The 16,701-nt window shown below is 43.2% G+C and overlaps 1 non-coding gene and 1 pseudogene across 1 annotated transcript, besides 5 other annotated features; both read right to left on the minus strand.

The window, feature by feature from the left end:
• Positions 1 to 7,040: 7,040 nt before the first annotated feature.
• MIR3916 (microRNA 3916) lies at positions 7,041 to 7,134 on the minus strand. Its single transcript, NR_037480.1, has one exon. It is a non-coding gene; the product is annotated as a microRNA 3916 (primary transcript).
• Positions 8,943 to 10,142: an enhancer, noted in NCBI's record as "BRD4-independent group 4 enhancer chr1:247367171-247368370 (GRCh37/hg19 assembly coordinates)". NCBI's record gives its function as "activates an origin of replication core promoter dependent on BRD2, P300/CBP, MED14 and CDK7 cofactors, and independent of BRD4, by STARR-seq in HCT116 cells {active_cell/tissue: HCT116}" and the evidence as "EXISTENCE:reporter gene assay evidence [ECO:0000049][PMID:35650434]".
• RNA5SP82 (RNA, 5S ribosomal pseudogene 82) lies at positions 9,644 to 9,735 on the minus strand (annotated as a pseudogene).
• Positions 15,523 to 15,732: a silencer, noted in NCBI's record as "silent region_2043". NCBI's record gives its function as "represses an Ori minimal core promoter by ATAC-STARR-seq in GM12878 lymphoblastoid cells {active_cell/tissue: GM12878}" and the evidence as "EXISTENCE:reporter gene assay evidence [ECO:0000049][PMID:35858748]".
• Positions 15,523 to 16,132: a biological region, named in NCBI's record as "H3K27ac hESC enhancer GRCh37_chr1:247373767-247374266".
• Positions 15,539 to 16,038: an enhancer, noted in NCBI's record as "H3K27ac hESC enhancer chr1:247373767-247374266 (GRCh37/hg19 assembly coordinates)". NCBI's record gives its function as "activates a minimal SCP1, AML or CMV promoter by ChIP-STARR-seq in primed H9 embryonic stem cells {active_cell/tissue: H9 hESC(primed)}" and the evidence as "EXISTENCE:reporter gene assay evidence [ECO:0000049][PMID:30033119]".
• Positions 15,873 to 16,132: a silencer, noted in NCBI's record as "fragment chr1:247374101-247374360 (GRCh37/hg19 assembly coordinates)". NCBI's record gives its function as "represses an EF-1alpha promoter that drives an FKBP-Casp9 reporter gene in an ReSE screen in phorbol 12-myristate 13-acetate-treated (for megakaryocytic differentiation) K562 erythroleukemia cells {active_cell/tissue: K562(+PMA)}" and the evidence as "EXISTENCE:reporter gene assay evidence [ECO:0000049][PMID:32094911]".

The raw sequence follows: 16,701 nt of genomic DNA on the forward strand, positions 1-16,701 counted from the left end.
GATGATTTTTTTGTTAAGATAGCAGTACTGGCCGGGTGCGATGGCTCATGCCTGTAATCCCAGCACTTTGGGAGGCTGAGGCGGGTGGATCACGAGGTCAGGAGATTGAGACCATCCTGGCTAACACGGTGAAACCCCCGTCTCTACTAAAAATACAAAAAAATTAGCCAGGCGTGGTGGCGGGTGCCTGTAGTCCCAGCTACTCGGGAGACTGAGGCAGGAGAATGGCATGAACCCAGGAGGCAGAGCTTGCAGTGAGCCAAGATCGCACCACTGCACTCCAGCCTGGGTGACAGAGCAAGACTCTGTCTCAAAAAAAAAAAAAAAAAAAAAGGTATCAGTACCAACAGTGATGTACAAATTCAACGTAATCTCTATCTAAATCCCAATGGTACTTTTTTTGCAGAAATATTTTCCAAATCCTAAAATTTGTTTAGAAACTATGACTAGCCAAATACCATTTCAAAAGAAGAAAAGGATGGGTGTGGTGGCTTATGCTTGTAATTCTAGCACTTTGGGAGGTAAACATGACAGGATCATTGAGGCCAGGAGTTTGAAGCCAGATTGGACCCTGCCTCTATTATTAAAACAAACAAACAAACAAAACAACAACAACAACAACTATAAAATAAAAAGAATAAGAAGAGGCTTTACACTTCCTGGTTTCAAACATATTACACAAAGCTATAAAAAGACAAATATGAATAAAGAGATAATGAAACAAGAGAGAACCTAGATATAAACCCTTTTGGATACAATCAAATGATCTTCCACAAGGTTGCCATGGCCACACAACAGGGAGAGACTCTTCGACAAACCATGTTGAAAACGGAGTACCTACATGAAAAAAATTAAGTTGGACCCTTCCTTTGCATTATATGCAAACAATATTTTAAAAGGATTCAATGCTTAAACATAAAAATATAACAAAACTCTCAGGAGAAAATATAGAGAAGATCATGACATTGGTCTTTGCACCGTTTTCTTGGATATGATGTCAAATGCATAAGCAACAAAGAACAAAAAAACTGAACTACATCAAACTTCAGAATTTCTGAACATTAAAGGAACCAATTAGTGGAATGAAAATGTCACCTTAGAAATGGGTGAAAATATTGACCTATTAGATATTTGATAGGAGTTAACGTACAGAATGTATCTCTCCTAAAACTCAGCCCCCCAAAAATAATAATTTGATTTAAAAACAGACAAAGGATTGAACTGACTTTTCTTTAAAAGATAATACTCAAATGGCCAACAGGCACTTGAAAGAAAGCTGAAAATTACTAATTTGTAGAGAACTGCAAAGCAAAATCACAATGAGCTATCACCTCACATCCATCAAAATGGCCACTATTAAAAATGAACAGAGGCTGGGCACAGTGGCTCATGCCTGCAATCCCAGCACTTTGGGAGGCTGAGGCGGGTGAATCACATGAGGCCAGGAGTTCGAGACTAGTCTGGCCAACATGGTGAAACCCCATCTCTGCCAAAAAATATAAAAATTAACCAGGCATGGTGGTGCATGCCTGCAATCCCAGCTACTCGGGAGGCTGAGGCACAAGAATCACTTGAACCCTGGAAGCGGAGGTTGCAGTGAGCCAAGATTGCACCACTGCATTCCTACATGGGTGACAGAGCAAGAACCTGTCTGAAAAAAAAGACCAACAGAAACTAATCTGTCAAGGATGTGGCGAAATGGAAACCTGTGTGCGCTATTGATGAAAAAATATGACACAGCCACTATTAAAAAACAGTATAGAGATTCCTCAAAAAACTAAAAATGGAATTATCATATAATCCAGCAATCCCATTTCTGAGTATATATTCAAACTCAGAACCTAGAAGATATATTGCAGCATTATTCACAAAAGCCAAAATGCAGAATCAACCCTGATGTCCCAAATGATCAATAGATAAAAATAAATGTGGCATATGCATAAAATTGATATTATTTAGCCTTAAAGAAGGAAATATTGTTACATTGTATGATAAGGATAAAGCTTGAGAATATTATGTTAACCGAAATAAGCCAGTACCAGTGACAGTGTATGATTCTACTTCTATATAATATCTTAAGTAGCCAACATCATATAGAAAGCTGAAGGGTGTTTGCCAAGGGCCGGAGAGAGAATAAAATGGGCAGTTCTTACTTAAGGAGTACTGAGTTTTGATTTTGCAAGATGTAACATTTCTAGCGGTCTTTTGCATAACAATGTGAATACGTGTAACGTTACTAAAAATGTATCCTTAAAGGTGCTCAACATCACCGGTCATCAAACAACTGCAACTCGAAACCACGATGAGACATCACCTCACACCTGTTTGGATGGCAAATATCAAAAAGAAGAGAGATGTGTATTATTCAAGGGATGGACAAAAGCCCTGACTTCACTACTGCATAATCTCTCCACTTAAGAAAATTAATTTATACCCTAAATTCATACAAATAAAAAAATCTACAAAAGAGATAATGTGGCATATACATAAGATTGATATTATCAGCCTTAAAGGAGATATTGTCACATTGTATGATAAGGATAAAGCTTGAGAATATTATGTTAACTGAAATAAGCCAGTACAAGTATTGACACAGGTGTGAAGAAAACTAAATTCCATATGTTGTTGCTGTGTTGTAAACTGATAGAGCCATTAGCAAAACCAGTATGGAGGTTCTTAATTGAAAAATGAAAAAGTAAAACTACCATATAATTCATCAATCCCACTTCTGTGTAAATAACCAAAGGAAATAAAATAATTATCTCAAAAGAAAAAAAACTGTACGCTCATGTTCATTGCAGCATTTTTCACAATTGCCAAGATATGAAAACAACCTAAATGTTTGCAGACACTAAAAATAAAAGTACACACACACACTCTAGAATGTTATTCAGCCATTAAAAATAATAAAATCTTGCCATTTCAACAACATGGATGAACATGGAGGAAATTACGCCAAGTGAAATAAGCCAGGCACAGAAAGAAAAATACTGCATAATCTCTCTTATAAGGGGAATCAAAAAGGGTTGAACTCAAAGAAGCAGAGAGTACAAAGATGATTGCCAGAGGCTGGAGTTAGGGAAAATTGGGAGCTGTTGTTCAAAGAGTACAACTTTCCATTATAAGATAAATACATTTTGGGGATCTTGTGTATAGCATTGTGACTGTAGTTCATAATAGCATTCTGTATGCTTAAAATTTGCTAAGATAGTTGTATCAAATCATCACATTGTACACAATACTTACACACTTTTTATTTGTGAAAAAATCCATGTTACACACATGTACATATATACACAAATGTATACACACCAACATATATATGAATAACAGTTCCGGTCATTCCAAACAAAATTATAAAATTACAGTTATTATAAACTAAGGTAGCAAGTGGAAGTTAAACATATGCTGAGCACTGCTCTAAGCTACCCAAATACACAGCATATTTAAGAAATCTAGGAAGCTGATACGGTTTGGCTGTGCCCCCACCCAAATCTCAACTTAAATTGCATCTCCCAGAATTCCCACGTGCTGTGGGAGGGACCCAGAGGGAGGTAATTGAATCATGGGGGCCAGTCTTTCCCGTGCTATTCTCATGATAGTAAATAAGTCTCATGGGATCTGATGGCTTTCTCAAGGGTTTCTGCTGTTGCTTCTTCCTCATTTTCTCTTGCTGCTGAGGCCTCCCCAGCCATGTGGAAATAGTTAAGTCCAGTTAAACCTCTTTTTCTTCCCAGTCTCAGGTACGTCTTTGTTAGCAGTGTGAAAACTGACTAATACAGAAGTGAACAGATACACTAAACCACACTACAGTTGAGAATTTGGGGCAGAGTTTAAATTACCAGTCTCTGTTTATACTAAAACAATAAATGTTTAATAAAAAATAACAGTTTCTTACATTTAGGGAGATGTCTAGTGTTCTTATAAAATTACTGAGTATAAATTTCTATAGAATGACATTTAAAACCTCTATAGAATGGGAAATCACAAAGCAGAAAACATGTAACATCTGTTCTGGTGTTCCTGGGATTCTGAGCCAAATCCCACTGCTCTCACACGCCTTAGACATAATGCAAAAAGGGAACTTAAAAAATAGCTTAACAAACAGTTTCTCAAAAATACACAGATATTCCTGTGTCCCCAAAGCAATGGAAGAACAATCAGATCATACGGTCTGTTCCAAGCTATGAAAAAGCCTTTGGCTGTCACTGTCATCTTGAAGAAAGATCACTGAAGGGAAAGTAGAGCCGTAAAAGAATTTCAGAGCATGGGACAGAAGGTGTTCCTATGTGACAGCAAGGGAAAGAAACTCAGGCTTCTCAGAAACCATTTCCATTGGAGCAGAGCTTCTCAAACCACATTTTAAGGTCTGGCTTCCGCCTTGATCTTTGAACCTCTCATCTGTATCATCCACTTCATTTACTCCCACCTACCTGGGTGTCTGGCTACTGTCTCATGTTTCTTCACATTCCAGGGCTCATTCCTTTGCTCTAGACAGGTGATCAGGTCTGGCTTAGAGACAGCAATACCTATTTTTAAAAAAAAATTCAAAGGACCTGTTTTATTTTTTAAGAAGTAGCATGACTCTTGCTTGGATTCTCTAATTACCAACCTAGTACTGTGCTCAGTAGAGAAATAAGGAAATAGAAGATTCTAAAAATTAATCCCAAAATACTGTTTCCTGACAGAACCTTTAGAATATTTGGAAAGTATTTTAAATTTGTGAGGCCCTAGCTTCACTACCTAATACTACTGAATCAAGAATGACAGAACCTTTAGAATATTTGGGAAGTATTTTAAATTTGTGAGTCCCTAGCTTCACTACCTAATACCACTGAATCAAGAATCGGTGGTGGTAACTGGATTTTTCAGGGTGTGTGCAACACTATTTTATGCTACTAAATTTCTGGAATTGCCACCACTCATCTGAGCACGCACATCACCTCAAGAAAGGAAGGTTAGTGTCAAGATAAAATACCTTCAAGATTATTTTGTTCTACACCAACAAATCCCCAAGTTTTCCTTGAAAGCAGAAATCTGAAATTCATTCGTGCAAAGCAGAATTCCAAAAAATATTCTACAATGAAGGAAATAAAATCCTTAGTGTAAAATAGAAATTATGCATTGAAGCGATCCTCACCCAGGGAGACCAGGTTTCTGTAGTTTTCTAACATCACGTCCCTATACAGATTCTGCTGAGCAGGGTCCAGATAGCTCCACTCCTCCGGAGAGAATTCTATGGCCACATCCCTGAATATCAACAGTCCCTGGCAAAGAAAAAACACATACGTATCAAGTGGTCATGGGCAGAGTTCTTAATCTGATTCCAGGCACAAAGAGAGACAGAGAGAACTGGTTCTTACTTATAGAAGAGACTGAAATGATCAAATAATTGTAAACACAGAAATATTCTCTAACATATTCTTTAATCCTGAAGAAAGAGGATGGCATAAGCTCCACATAACCAGTGTACATATTCTACTCTTGTGAATAATACAGTATAAAATTAAGGGCATCAACGCAGGCATATACATTTTTTCCTGCTCTATTTACCTCACACAGGATAAACTGTAAATATTTCTCATATGTAGAGGTCATGATTCATCAGAAGGTACCCCTGAAATTTTAATGCGTACACAATAAACTAGAGATCCTCTTAAAATGCAGGTTGTGATTCAGAGGACCTAGGGTGAAGCCTGAGTCTCTGAATTTCTAAGTGAGCCATACAGTGATGCCACTGTGTCTGGGCCAAGGAAAATATTTTTTCAAACATGCAGGAAGTGGCAGAGCCTGTGTTTATTTCAGTTTATCTAACCAATAAACAAACACGAGAGCCTTCATTTTCCAAAGCAAGCTATAAGCGAGGAGAATCTAAAAAGAAAGAAGAGCTTCCTAATTAAATGTGATGGCTTATATGTATCAGTCAGTAAATCTCCCCAAGGTACTAAACAATAATGAAAAAAATATCTCTATCGTGCAAAAATCTGGCAGAGAGCACCTTAACCAAGTAAATAAAATTAAGATCAACTATAATAGGATAAATCAACATCAAAGATGTCAAGGATAAAATGACATCAAGGATCACATGACATCAAGGACAAAGTATCACTGCTCTAATATTATTGACCACAAAAATAGTAAATTACAATCTGAACCTAATCATGTAGAAACATCCTTTTTTTGTTTTGTTTTTTGGAGACAGTCTTGCTCTGTCGCTCAGGCTGGAGTGCAATGGTGCAATCTTGGCTCACTGCAGCCTCTGCTTCCCAGGTTCCAGTGATTCTCCCACCTCAGCCTCCCAAATAGCTGGGATTACAGGCGTGCACCACCATGCCCAGTTAATTTTTGTATTTTTAGTAGAGATGGGGTTTCATCATGTTAGCCAGGCTGGTCTTGAACTCCTGACCTCAAGTGATCTGCCCGCCTCAGCCTCCCAAAGTGCTGGGATTACAGGTGTGAGCCACAGTGCCTGGCCAGAAACATCAGTTTTATGCAAAGTTCAAGCTATAGCTGTTTCCCTGGTTCTTTAATCTGCAATAGGGTATTTCAATAGTGTTTCTTTAGCATCCTAGACAGCAAATGTCTTCTAATTATTCTCTTTTCAGAACTTTAAGTTATTCCAGGCAATGAATGCCATCCTCTTTAAATGTCTCTTTTCTTAATTCTGTTCTGCATAGAGATGATGGAGCATGTGGATGAAATCTAAACGGTACATGATCCCCTTCTTCACTGACATCCCAAGACCCAGCCCCATCCCCACGGATAATCCTGGGGATCCACACTTTCCCATGTTGATATGTCACAGAACATCTGAATACTGCCCATCATACATTAATGGTAAGATTTGGTCATGACATATAAGAAGCCTGGAAGGAGGGAATGGAGAGAAGGTTCTGGTACACAGGAGGAAGGATTTTACAGAGTTCCTTATCAATCATAAGAAAGGAGGGGGGAAGGGGGGAAGGTAGTTGGGAAGAAACACATTAGGCAGGTACATCAGAAGTACAGAAATAAAGGTTTGCAAGTTCTAAACACATAACATCCCAGAAGAAAAGAGGAGACACATCCCCTGAACCCAGACACATTCACCTGAGAACCAGCCATTTCTTCCTCTTCTTCCTTCTTCTCTGGGATTCCTTCTCAGGTGAGATTATCTGGACAAATCACACCTGCATTTGAGAATATGTCTTTAAAGGTGTCAACACAACCCTTTCACCTGCAACCAGCACACCTAGAGGCAGAAGGCCCTGCAGTGCAGAAAAGGGAATACTCCCCTATTCTTTATCACAGGAGAGGAAAAATGAGCTACCACATAAAGACCAAAAATTTCCTGCCTTCAGGTGATCTCCCCTGCCATGAACTCCAGCAATTTCTGGTACAGCAAAGGAAATATGGATCTTGGTGACCTACCCTTATCAAACCGAAGAGCAGGCCCTCTGACCTCCTTTTGGAACCCAAGTCTCGTGACTGTATCTGGGAGCCCTCAAGGTTGACTCTGATCTCACCTTAGAATCGCTGGGGGGCACTTACTTAAAACAACAATTATGCTTCCATCCAGACCACAGACAGGATCTTTGGAGACAGCATGTGTGATGGTAGTTCTCCAAACTGGCTATTTGTTTCTAATTGAAAGCCTGGGCTGAGAACCACATACCTGAGTACTGTCTCTCTGGCTTCAATGTACATATAAATAATTTGGTATTCTAATTTGGTATTCCAGGCCCCATTCTAAGTAATGTGTTTCCGCAGGTGTGAAAGGGGTCTGCAAATGGGCTTCTATAACAAGTCTTCTGATACTGTTCCCCCGGACTCCTCATCAGCAGCACTCAGCTAGAGAAGGCAAATACAGCACAGAGTCCCTTGTACTCAACACCGGTATCACAACAGAAATGCTTTGGCCGGGCGCAGTGGCTCACGCCTGTAATCCCAGCACTTTGGGAGGCCGAGGCGGGTGGATCACCTGAGGTCAGGAGTTCAAGACCAGCCTGACCAACATGGAGAAACCGTGTCTCTACTAAAAATACAAAATTAGCCGGGTGTGGTGGCGCATGCCTGTAATTCCAGCTACTGGGGAAGGCAGAGGCAGGCGAATCGCTTGAACCTGGGAGGCAGAGGTTGCAGTGAGCTGAGATCGCACCATTGCACTCTAGCCGGGGCAGCAAGAGGGAACTTGGTCTCAAAACACAAACAAACAAAAAAAACCCAGCAATGCTTCTGATTGCAAGTGAAGACCACCAATCGCCATCCTGAAAAATGGCATTCTCTGCTGAGCGTTTAAAGTTTACTAAAGTCTAGAGAAGGCAGCAATGTCTGAGTAAGTCTGCACTGGGAGAACGTGGACACGGGCATTAATGAATGTTTACGGAACACATACTACGTGCTCAGAAGTGTGTTACAGAGGACAGCGCTGAAAACCTAGTAATAGGTGAGGTAATTCTAACACTCCGGGAGGTGGGTACTAAGTGTTCCATAATCCCCAGGGTTTACATGAAGGGCCCAGCTTTTCTTTTTCTGTTTCTCCATCACTGAGTTTTAGAAAGAAAATATATAGAATGAAAGCTAAATACAGACAGATGGGAGAGATACAGAAAGAAGGGGTTAAATGTAGTTGAGAGGGATTTTTCGTTGTTGTCGTGTTTGTATTTACTTTCTGGTAACTCATGGAGGAACTACTGCATCTGCAGGAATGAAGAACACCTGGGTCTGCAGGATGAACAGCAGGCTGCTGGGTGGGATGTCTCTGGCAGCACTGGTTTCAATGAAAAACAAAGGGCCACAATTACACAGTGCTTTGTTCTCATTTACCTGCTTTTGGGTTTGGGAAAATTGTCAGCACCTGCTCTGGAGAGATCACAGGAACCACCACGCAACAACTCTGATGTCCTCTAATGAATTCTGCGACGGAGATTTCAGGGTGGGATAAGGCCTGGGAAGCAGGCTGATCTGGCAGAGCTGGGCCACGAAGCAGACCCTCAGCTTCTCACCTTTAGGCCTCTGGGTACTACCGGTTCTCTTTGTCCTAGGCCTGCCCAACAGACGCTTGACTCCCAGAGTTTGTGTAATTTTAACCAATTTTAGCTACTTCCTCGTCTATTTTATAAGATCCAGTCACGGGCAATTTAACCAACACCCTTAGAGCTTTCTAGGACAAATATATTAGAAACTAAATATTTATTCTTGGCAAGGAAAATGCACTAGAAATAAAGATAATAACAACTCTTTTGTCCATAAATAGCCCTTCAGGTGGCAACACCAGAACTCACAAAAGAACAAGAAAAGAGAAGTGGCCCCAATGAAGCCACAATCCTCTGTATACCTCCCTTCTTTGTGCTGACCACAGGATGCCGAATTCAACCGTTTATCCACTGGCTCTAGACTGAAAGTTCCTGGTTGGTAAGGACCCAAGACTGTGCCATCTGTTTTTGTAATGGCCATATGAAATGGAAGCAACTGGTTTATCAGTTTGAGTCTCGAGATCTCCTCCTTGTTTTTTACCCAATACCAGGAAACGGGAGCCAGTCCCATCTGGATATCAATCAAAGAGATTCCTTTTGTGAGGGGGAAAGAAGAAACATGCATGACTCATTTCTCTTCCTCTGAGATGGAAGCAGCTTTGTTTATTTGTTTATTTTTAAAGGAAAAAAGCCTACAGCATCCAGTATTCCCAGGACTGACCCTGCTTAGCTTCCGAGATGAGATGAGATAGCGCATGTTCGGAGTGGTATGGCCATAGACTGGAAGCAGATTTAGACCTTCCTGTCAGCCTGACCTGAGTCTGCACTAATGTTTAAAGACTCCCAGGTACCTGCGACAGGGTCCTCAGTGACCCTGGGCTTATGTCCCCATGGTGATCTAGGCAAGAGAGATTCCGGCTGATTCTGTGGGACAAAAATAGAAAACAGGCCGGCGCGGTGGCTCACACCTGTAATCCCAGCACTTTGGGAGGCTGAGGCGGGCGGATCACCTGAGGTCAGGGGTTCGAGACCAGCCTGGCCAACATGGTGAAACCCTGTCTCTACTAAAATACAAAAAAATTAGCTGGGCCTGTTGGTAGGCACCTCTAATCCCAGTTACTCAGGAGGCTGAGGCAGGAGAATTGCTTTAACTCAGGAGGCGGAGGTTGCAGTGAGCTGAGATCACCCCACTGCACTCCAGCCTGGGTGACAGAGTGAGACTCCGTCTCAAAAAAAAAAACAAAACAAAAAAACCCCAAAAAACAAAACTGCCACGGTGGAGTGGCAGATTCTTAATCCAGAGGAGATATCACCTGTCCCTAATTAGCTAAATCTTGAGTAAGAGAAAGGACAACAGTGCTTCCATATCACACTTTACAGGTGGGTGTGACCGTGACCACAGCTCTGCCTATTTTGTGGCCCTAACCTCACCCTGCTGAGGTTCTTGTTTACATTTACAGACTCTGTCACCAGGCTGTTTTTTTTTTTTTTTTTTTTGAGACAGTTTCACTCTTGTTGCCCAGGCTGGAGTGAAATGGTGTGATCTGGGCTCACCACAACCTCTGCCTCCCAGGTTCAAGCGATTCTCCTGCCTCAGCCTCCCGAGTAGCTGGGATTACAGGCATGCGCCACCACCCCGGCTAATTTTGTATTTTTAGTAGAGACAGGGTTTCTGCATGTTGGTCAGGCTGGTCTTGAACTCCCAACCTCAGGTGATCCGCCCGCCTCAGCCACCAGGGTCTTTTTATACCAGGAGCTTCTCACACAACTGTAACAGGTCACTGGACCTGGAAAACTCAAAGGGTGCCACTCTGAAACTGGGGCTTTAAGATGTCTATGTCGGCCAGGCACAGCGGCTCATGCCTGTAATCCCAGCATTTGGGAGGCCAAGGCAAGAGGACAGCATGAAGCCAGGAGTTCGAGACCATCCAGGGCAACATAAGTGAGATCTCACCCCTACACAAAATAAAAAATAAAATTTGCAATGTGGTGTGGTGTGTCCCTTTAGTTCTCGCTGTTGAGGAAGGAGGATCACTTGAGCCCAGGAGTCTGAGGCTGCAGTAAGCTATGAATGTGCCACTGCACTCCAGCCTGAGTGAAAAGAATGAAACCGTGTCTCAAAAAATAAAATAATTAAAAGCTTTAAGAAAGGGGAGAAGAGCAAAATTTATTCCCCTACTTTCTGGTGGAGGAATTAAGCCTCTTATTTCTAGCTGCTGTCAGTATAAAGAGCTTCTTTCATGCTTGGGGTGTACGGACACCTGCAGGGGGGTGCTCCCCAGGAAGAACTAACCGGGCCTTCAATGACCTTCCACAGCCAAGTCAAGGGCCATCGTCTTGGACTCATGGATATCTGAATTCCAGTAGGTCTGGATTCAGGCACTTGAGGGGTAGCCTGGGACAAACTGTGTATCAAAGAGGGTTTGTGGGAAAGAAAAAACAGAAAAGTGCTGTCAAGTACCCATGTTAAGTACTCAGTGCAGGGTTAGTGAAGAAGTGGTCTGTGCCTACAGATACTGGCCCAAGTGGGGCTATGCTCCGGCTCATTCCTGTGTCCATGCAGGCAGATGAGATGACGGTCATATCGTGGAGGGGCCAGGTTGCTGGGGGTGGGGATAGGCCAGGAGTCTTCCAGGCACCTGTGTGGGTTTTCCATGGGAAACTCTAGAAGCAAAGGTGCTGTGATGGGATTCCTGAGGGTGAAGCCTTGTTCTGGGAGGGACATGGCCACGTCAGTGCCTAGTGGGTATGTTTACAAGTGGGTGAAAATCACGTAGTGGCAGCAGACTAAAGACGGGGTCTGTCCTCAGAACTCTTTGCTTCTAAGTCCTCAGTCCTGTCTGATCCTGAGAAGAGAGCTGGAATCCCAGGAGAATGTGCAGTGTGTGTGCAGGAGAATAGACCCTCCCAATCCTGCGACACCCCGAGGTGCCTCCAGCCCAGACCACTGTGATGTCTTGTCTTTTTTATTTATTTTTTTTTTTCGAGACGGAGTGTTGCTCTGTCGCCCATGCTGGAGTGCAGTGGCGTGATCTGGGCTCACTGCAAGCTCTGCCTCCCAGGTTCACGCCATTCTCCTGCCTCAGCCTCCCAAGTAACTGGGACTACAGGCGCCCGCCACCACGCCCGGCTAGTTTTTTGTATTTTTAGTAGAGACGGGGTTTCACTGTGATAGCCAGGATGGTCTCAATCTCCTGACCTCGTGATCCACCCGCCTTGGCCTCCCACAGTGCTGGGATTACAGGCTGTGATGTCTTTTTTTTCTGACACCAAATGTGTGGAGTTTGCTGAACACCAACCAATTCTCCAACACCAACAGGGTGCTGGAGCAACTCAGTTCTGACACCACCCAAAAAAAAGTTGGTACAGGACCCACAGGTTCAGGACTCAGTCCCACAACACTGCCCCCAAGGCAGGGGCCAGTCACACGTCCCCGGGGGCCCAGCAATACTTCTGGGCTACTGCCTATAGATCAGAAACTCCCATCACCCACTCCTCAAGTTCAATAATTTGATACAGCTATTCGCAGAACTCAGCAAAGCACTGTACTTATGTTTACCAGTTTATTGTAAAAGATACAACTCAGGAACAGTCAAATGGAAGAGCTGAATATGGCAATGGAAAGTGGTGGGGGAAGATGGAGCAGGTAAATAGCTGTGATTAATGAAATCCTTCAGCTCTGTGTTCTCCAAGAACAGCTTAATAAAAAGCAACACCCCTCTAACTTAGATGAAGCTCCTTCTTATACCTATCACAAAGCCAGGCACAGACTCTCAAATTCCCATTTTCCCCCTATAAACAGTCAGCTGAATAATTTTGTCTTCAGTTGTTAGAACAAAATACTTATTAACAAAACTGCTTAAGATTCTCTCCTTCTCCTAGGCCCATGAATTTGTCCCACCCTTTGCTTGAGCTAACATACAACTCCTATTTATGCCCCTCCTAAGAACAGGCTGATTTGGGAGTCAAACTTTCTCTAATCTAGGATCTGATTTGCCACCCTGCATCTTGTCCTCTCACTCTCACCTTTCTACTCTGGTTTGTTCCTCCAAACGAAAGAAAGCCCTTGTCTGCCTAAACTTTGAGATCCTGGAAGATATAGTTGGTGCTTTCCCTCTGTTGTAATACTCCTTTGAAGTAAGTAACTTCTTATCTAAATGTGAATTTGTTTTATTTGACAAAGTCTAGAAACAGCCCCAGAACAATAACAATTCCATCCTCAGAAAGAGCCTCCAGACTCCGACCCCAACAGCATCTGCCTGTGGATCCCAGCTCTCTAGGGCTCTATAGCTCCTCTCAGTATAAAGTGCTCCTTTCATGTTGGGGTGTGCAGGCTGGGACACCTGCAGGGGAGGCTCCCCAGTAAGAACTAACCGGGTCTTCAATGACCTTGTTTTGCAGGCTCAAGATTGGCCTTGGCTTAGAGTCACTGGGCTCCGACTTCTATTTCCCAGTCAGGGTTATTCACTTAGTTGTAAATGAGAAAATGCTCAGTGTTTGAAGAATCCAGCAAAATCACTCAAACACAGTGTTTATTTAAGAGAATAAAATTATAAGGCACTTACATTGTATACCTCAATAGAAAAAGCAAAACTCTCTATCAGTTTCAGACAATAAACATGTCACATTATTTCCGTAATTCAAATCATTCAGTAAACAATCACATATGAACATATCTAGGAGATGCCAAGTCCCATCTTGTAAAATTCAGTATTAAACTCAGACATCTAGATAATAGAGATATCAACTCCACAAGTCCTCTACCCTGCAAAAAAGAGGAACTAATATTTTGATGAAGCAATGTAATTCACCAATTAATCTACTACTTTTTTTGTGGAAATGTATTCATTTCCTATAGCCATACTGGAAGAGGATTTTCCCTATTACTTTCCCTGGTAGCATTCCCACAGCTACGCCCTGGGATTCTGTTTAAAATCACCCCTAAAAAGGAACAGGCCTGACAAACTTACTATACTCTAGGGAAGAAAAAGGTAAATCAGAATTTTTAACAAGTGAATATTTGACTATATATGTAATGTCTTTTCTGAAATCCACCTCTTAAACATTTTCTTACCTTTGAAACTCTACTGTTAAAATGCAATTGACAGTTAATAAAAAACTAAGGTTGAATTAAGTGAAAAAAATGTTTCAAGGTGTAAAACCCAGGAAGTGGCAATGCTGATTGGAACACAGACAAATCTGACTCAAGTGCCAAGTCAGGCCGTCCTATCACTTGGGACCTTCCTCTGTTTCCATACTGCTCACTGACCACCTTCCCGCCTTGCCCAGGAGCCACCACACTGTGCCCCACTGGGTGCCCCAAGTGGCTTGACTTTGCAGATTCTCGCGCCCCCTCACTGCAGTGGGTCTTCCTTGTCCTTTGGAACAGTTTTTCCCCCTTCACAAGTCTGAGAGAATCCAGATGTCAGAAATCATTTCTGTTTTTTCTTCTCAATATCAGCATCCAACTGGCTGACCAGCAATGTGTCCCCAAGGAACAGACGCTGGAGTTGGGTGAAGACAATCTGCATGTCCTAAGGGGTTAGCTTTGTAAATGAAGGGTAGGACCAGCTTCCTCTCAGCCCCAGGGCATCCATCTGCTCCCTTAAGAGGCTCCACCTCCATCACTGAGGCTGTCCTCTGGGAGGAAAGGAACAACGTGCTAATGTTCACTAAACATGCCTTGAGATGGGTCACCCCCAGACAATTATGAAACCCAGGCACAGAAAAAGACTGGAGGGTGGCTGAGGACACATGACCTTGTAAAATTTCCAAAGCAGAACCTCAAACCAAAGACATTCCGATAAGGTGTCTGTGCCTGGGGAAGATAAAAGAAGAGACACAAAGATTTTTTTTAAAGCAGTGTGTCAGGTGATTCTTCTCTGCTCACATAAAATGTTTACAAACAGAAAACAGATGTCTAAAAAAAGTGCCATCCAATGCTCTGTGAAAAAATGATGAAAACACTGTGTGTGAAATGTACAATAAAGGACACACAGGCTGGGGGGACAGGATGGTGGATGTGAGACCGTGCTTGCCACACATTTGGAAACGCAGTGGAAAACCAGTCCCCCTCTGGAGTGTTTAAAATAATTAACTAGCAATCAATTAGACTGAAGTAGCACTAGGACCATCGGTTCCTAAGGAAAAAAATCTAACTGAAATACATGTCTTGTAAATTACTACCTTAGGAAGAAACGATTTTCAGCCTGAACCAACCACAAACCTCCAATTAACCTCTCATTAAATAACCAGGAAATTTCCACCTGGACAGTCCACATAAGGCGACTCCACAACTGTAACTGTAACCAAGTTCTGAATTTGGTTCGCTTCCTTATGCCCCTTACAAAAGCCTTTGCTCCAAGCACCCACAAACCATGACTGGGCGCTCTGCATTGATGAACAGCTCTTTGCTCAAATAATCTCTTTAACGTTTAAACCTTGATTCCCTTTTCATTTTTACCAGGAGAAAGGAGGGCCTGGGACCCCACAGCCCACAGCTCCTCCCACGCAGTGGCTCCTCCTGGGTCGGGGCTCTCCCCCAGGCCCCTGCCGTCGCCACCGCACAGCTGCCAGCGAGGGGACGCGCCGGGCGGAAGTCGAGCGCAGAAGCGGACCGGACGCCGGGTGAGGCTGGCGGCCCAGCCCACATCCTGAGGCCAGGGGAAGCTGAGGGCCGGGCGGGTCCAGCGGGGTCTCGGGTCTGCAGACTCCGGAGGCAGCTGTGGGGAGGCCTGGGGCCGCCACAGCCAGTTCCAGCCCGTTTCCATCAGCCCCCTGCCCACCTCGGGACCCCGCCCACATACTCACCATTTCCCAGCTTCCCGGGTGTCCAGGCTGCTTAGCTATGGATCTCCTGATACCTGCAGGTCAGAGGGCAAGAGGCTGTGGCGGCCACCTGAGCTTCCCCGAGCAAAGCACGCCGAGCACAGAAGACGACCCAGCTGAGGCTGGCAGGAGAGACGAAGGCCCCGCCAGATCCCGGAAGCCGCGCCCTTCTGTCCGGCTGCACGCCCGATTGGACGGTTCCTACGTCAGCGCCCCTGATTGGATAGGGCTCCAGGCCCCGCCCCCTCAGTCCCTGAGTGACGGAGGATGTGATCGGACGCTGGGCTGAGGGCGACAAAGTGACAGGTTCTTGGCTGCAGCCTTTTCATGCAGGGCTTCCTGCTTGCGCTGGGCCTGGCCCAGCCCAGGGGGCATTTTCATTTAACCTTTTGTATAAGGTTATATCCATTTATAAATAATATATATATGTTATTCACAAATGAAAACAATATAATGGCAATGATTTTAACATTTCAGATTTTATGACCTTTCTGGCCTCTGGTAGTTTGATCAGGCAGCCTGAAATTTCAAAAAGGGAGGCAATCCTTTAAGAAATAAAATGTAAGCCACGTGTGAATTTTAAATTTCCTAGTAGCCACCTTTTAAACATTAAAAGTAACAGGTGAAACTGATTGTAATAATTTATTTAACCCAATATATTCAAAATATTATCATTTCAATGTATGATCAATATCTCAATATTCATCAATATATTAATGAACTATATAATTTTCGGTAGTCAATCTGTGAAACTCACTCTGTATTTCACCTTCCCAGCACGTCTCTGTTCAGCCACATTCCAGGCCCTCAGTACTCACACATGGCCAGTGGCTGTCACACTGCCGTGCAGCTCTGAGGGAGGTGAACGGTCTGAACCCTCATTTCCTTCCAGCAGTGAAAGATCGGTCCTCCTTATCAA

The sequence above is a fragment of the Homo sapiens genome, chromosome 1, assembly GCF_000001405.40.
Source record: "Homo sapiens chromosome 1, GRCh38.p14 Primary Assembly".
NCBI lineage: Eukaryota > Metazoa > Chordata > Mammalia > Primates > Hominidae > Homo > Homo sapiens.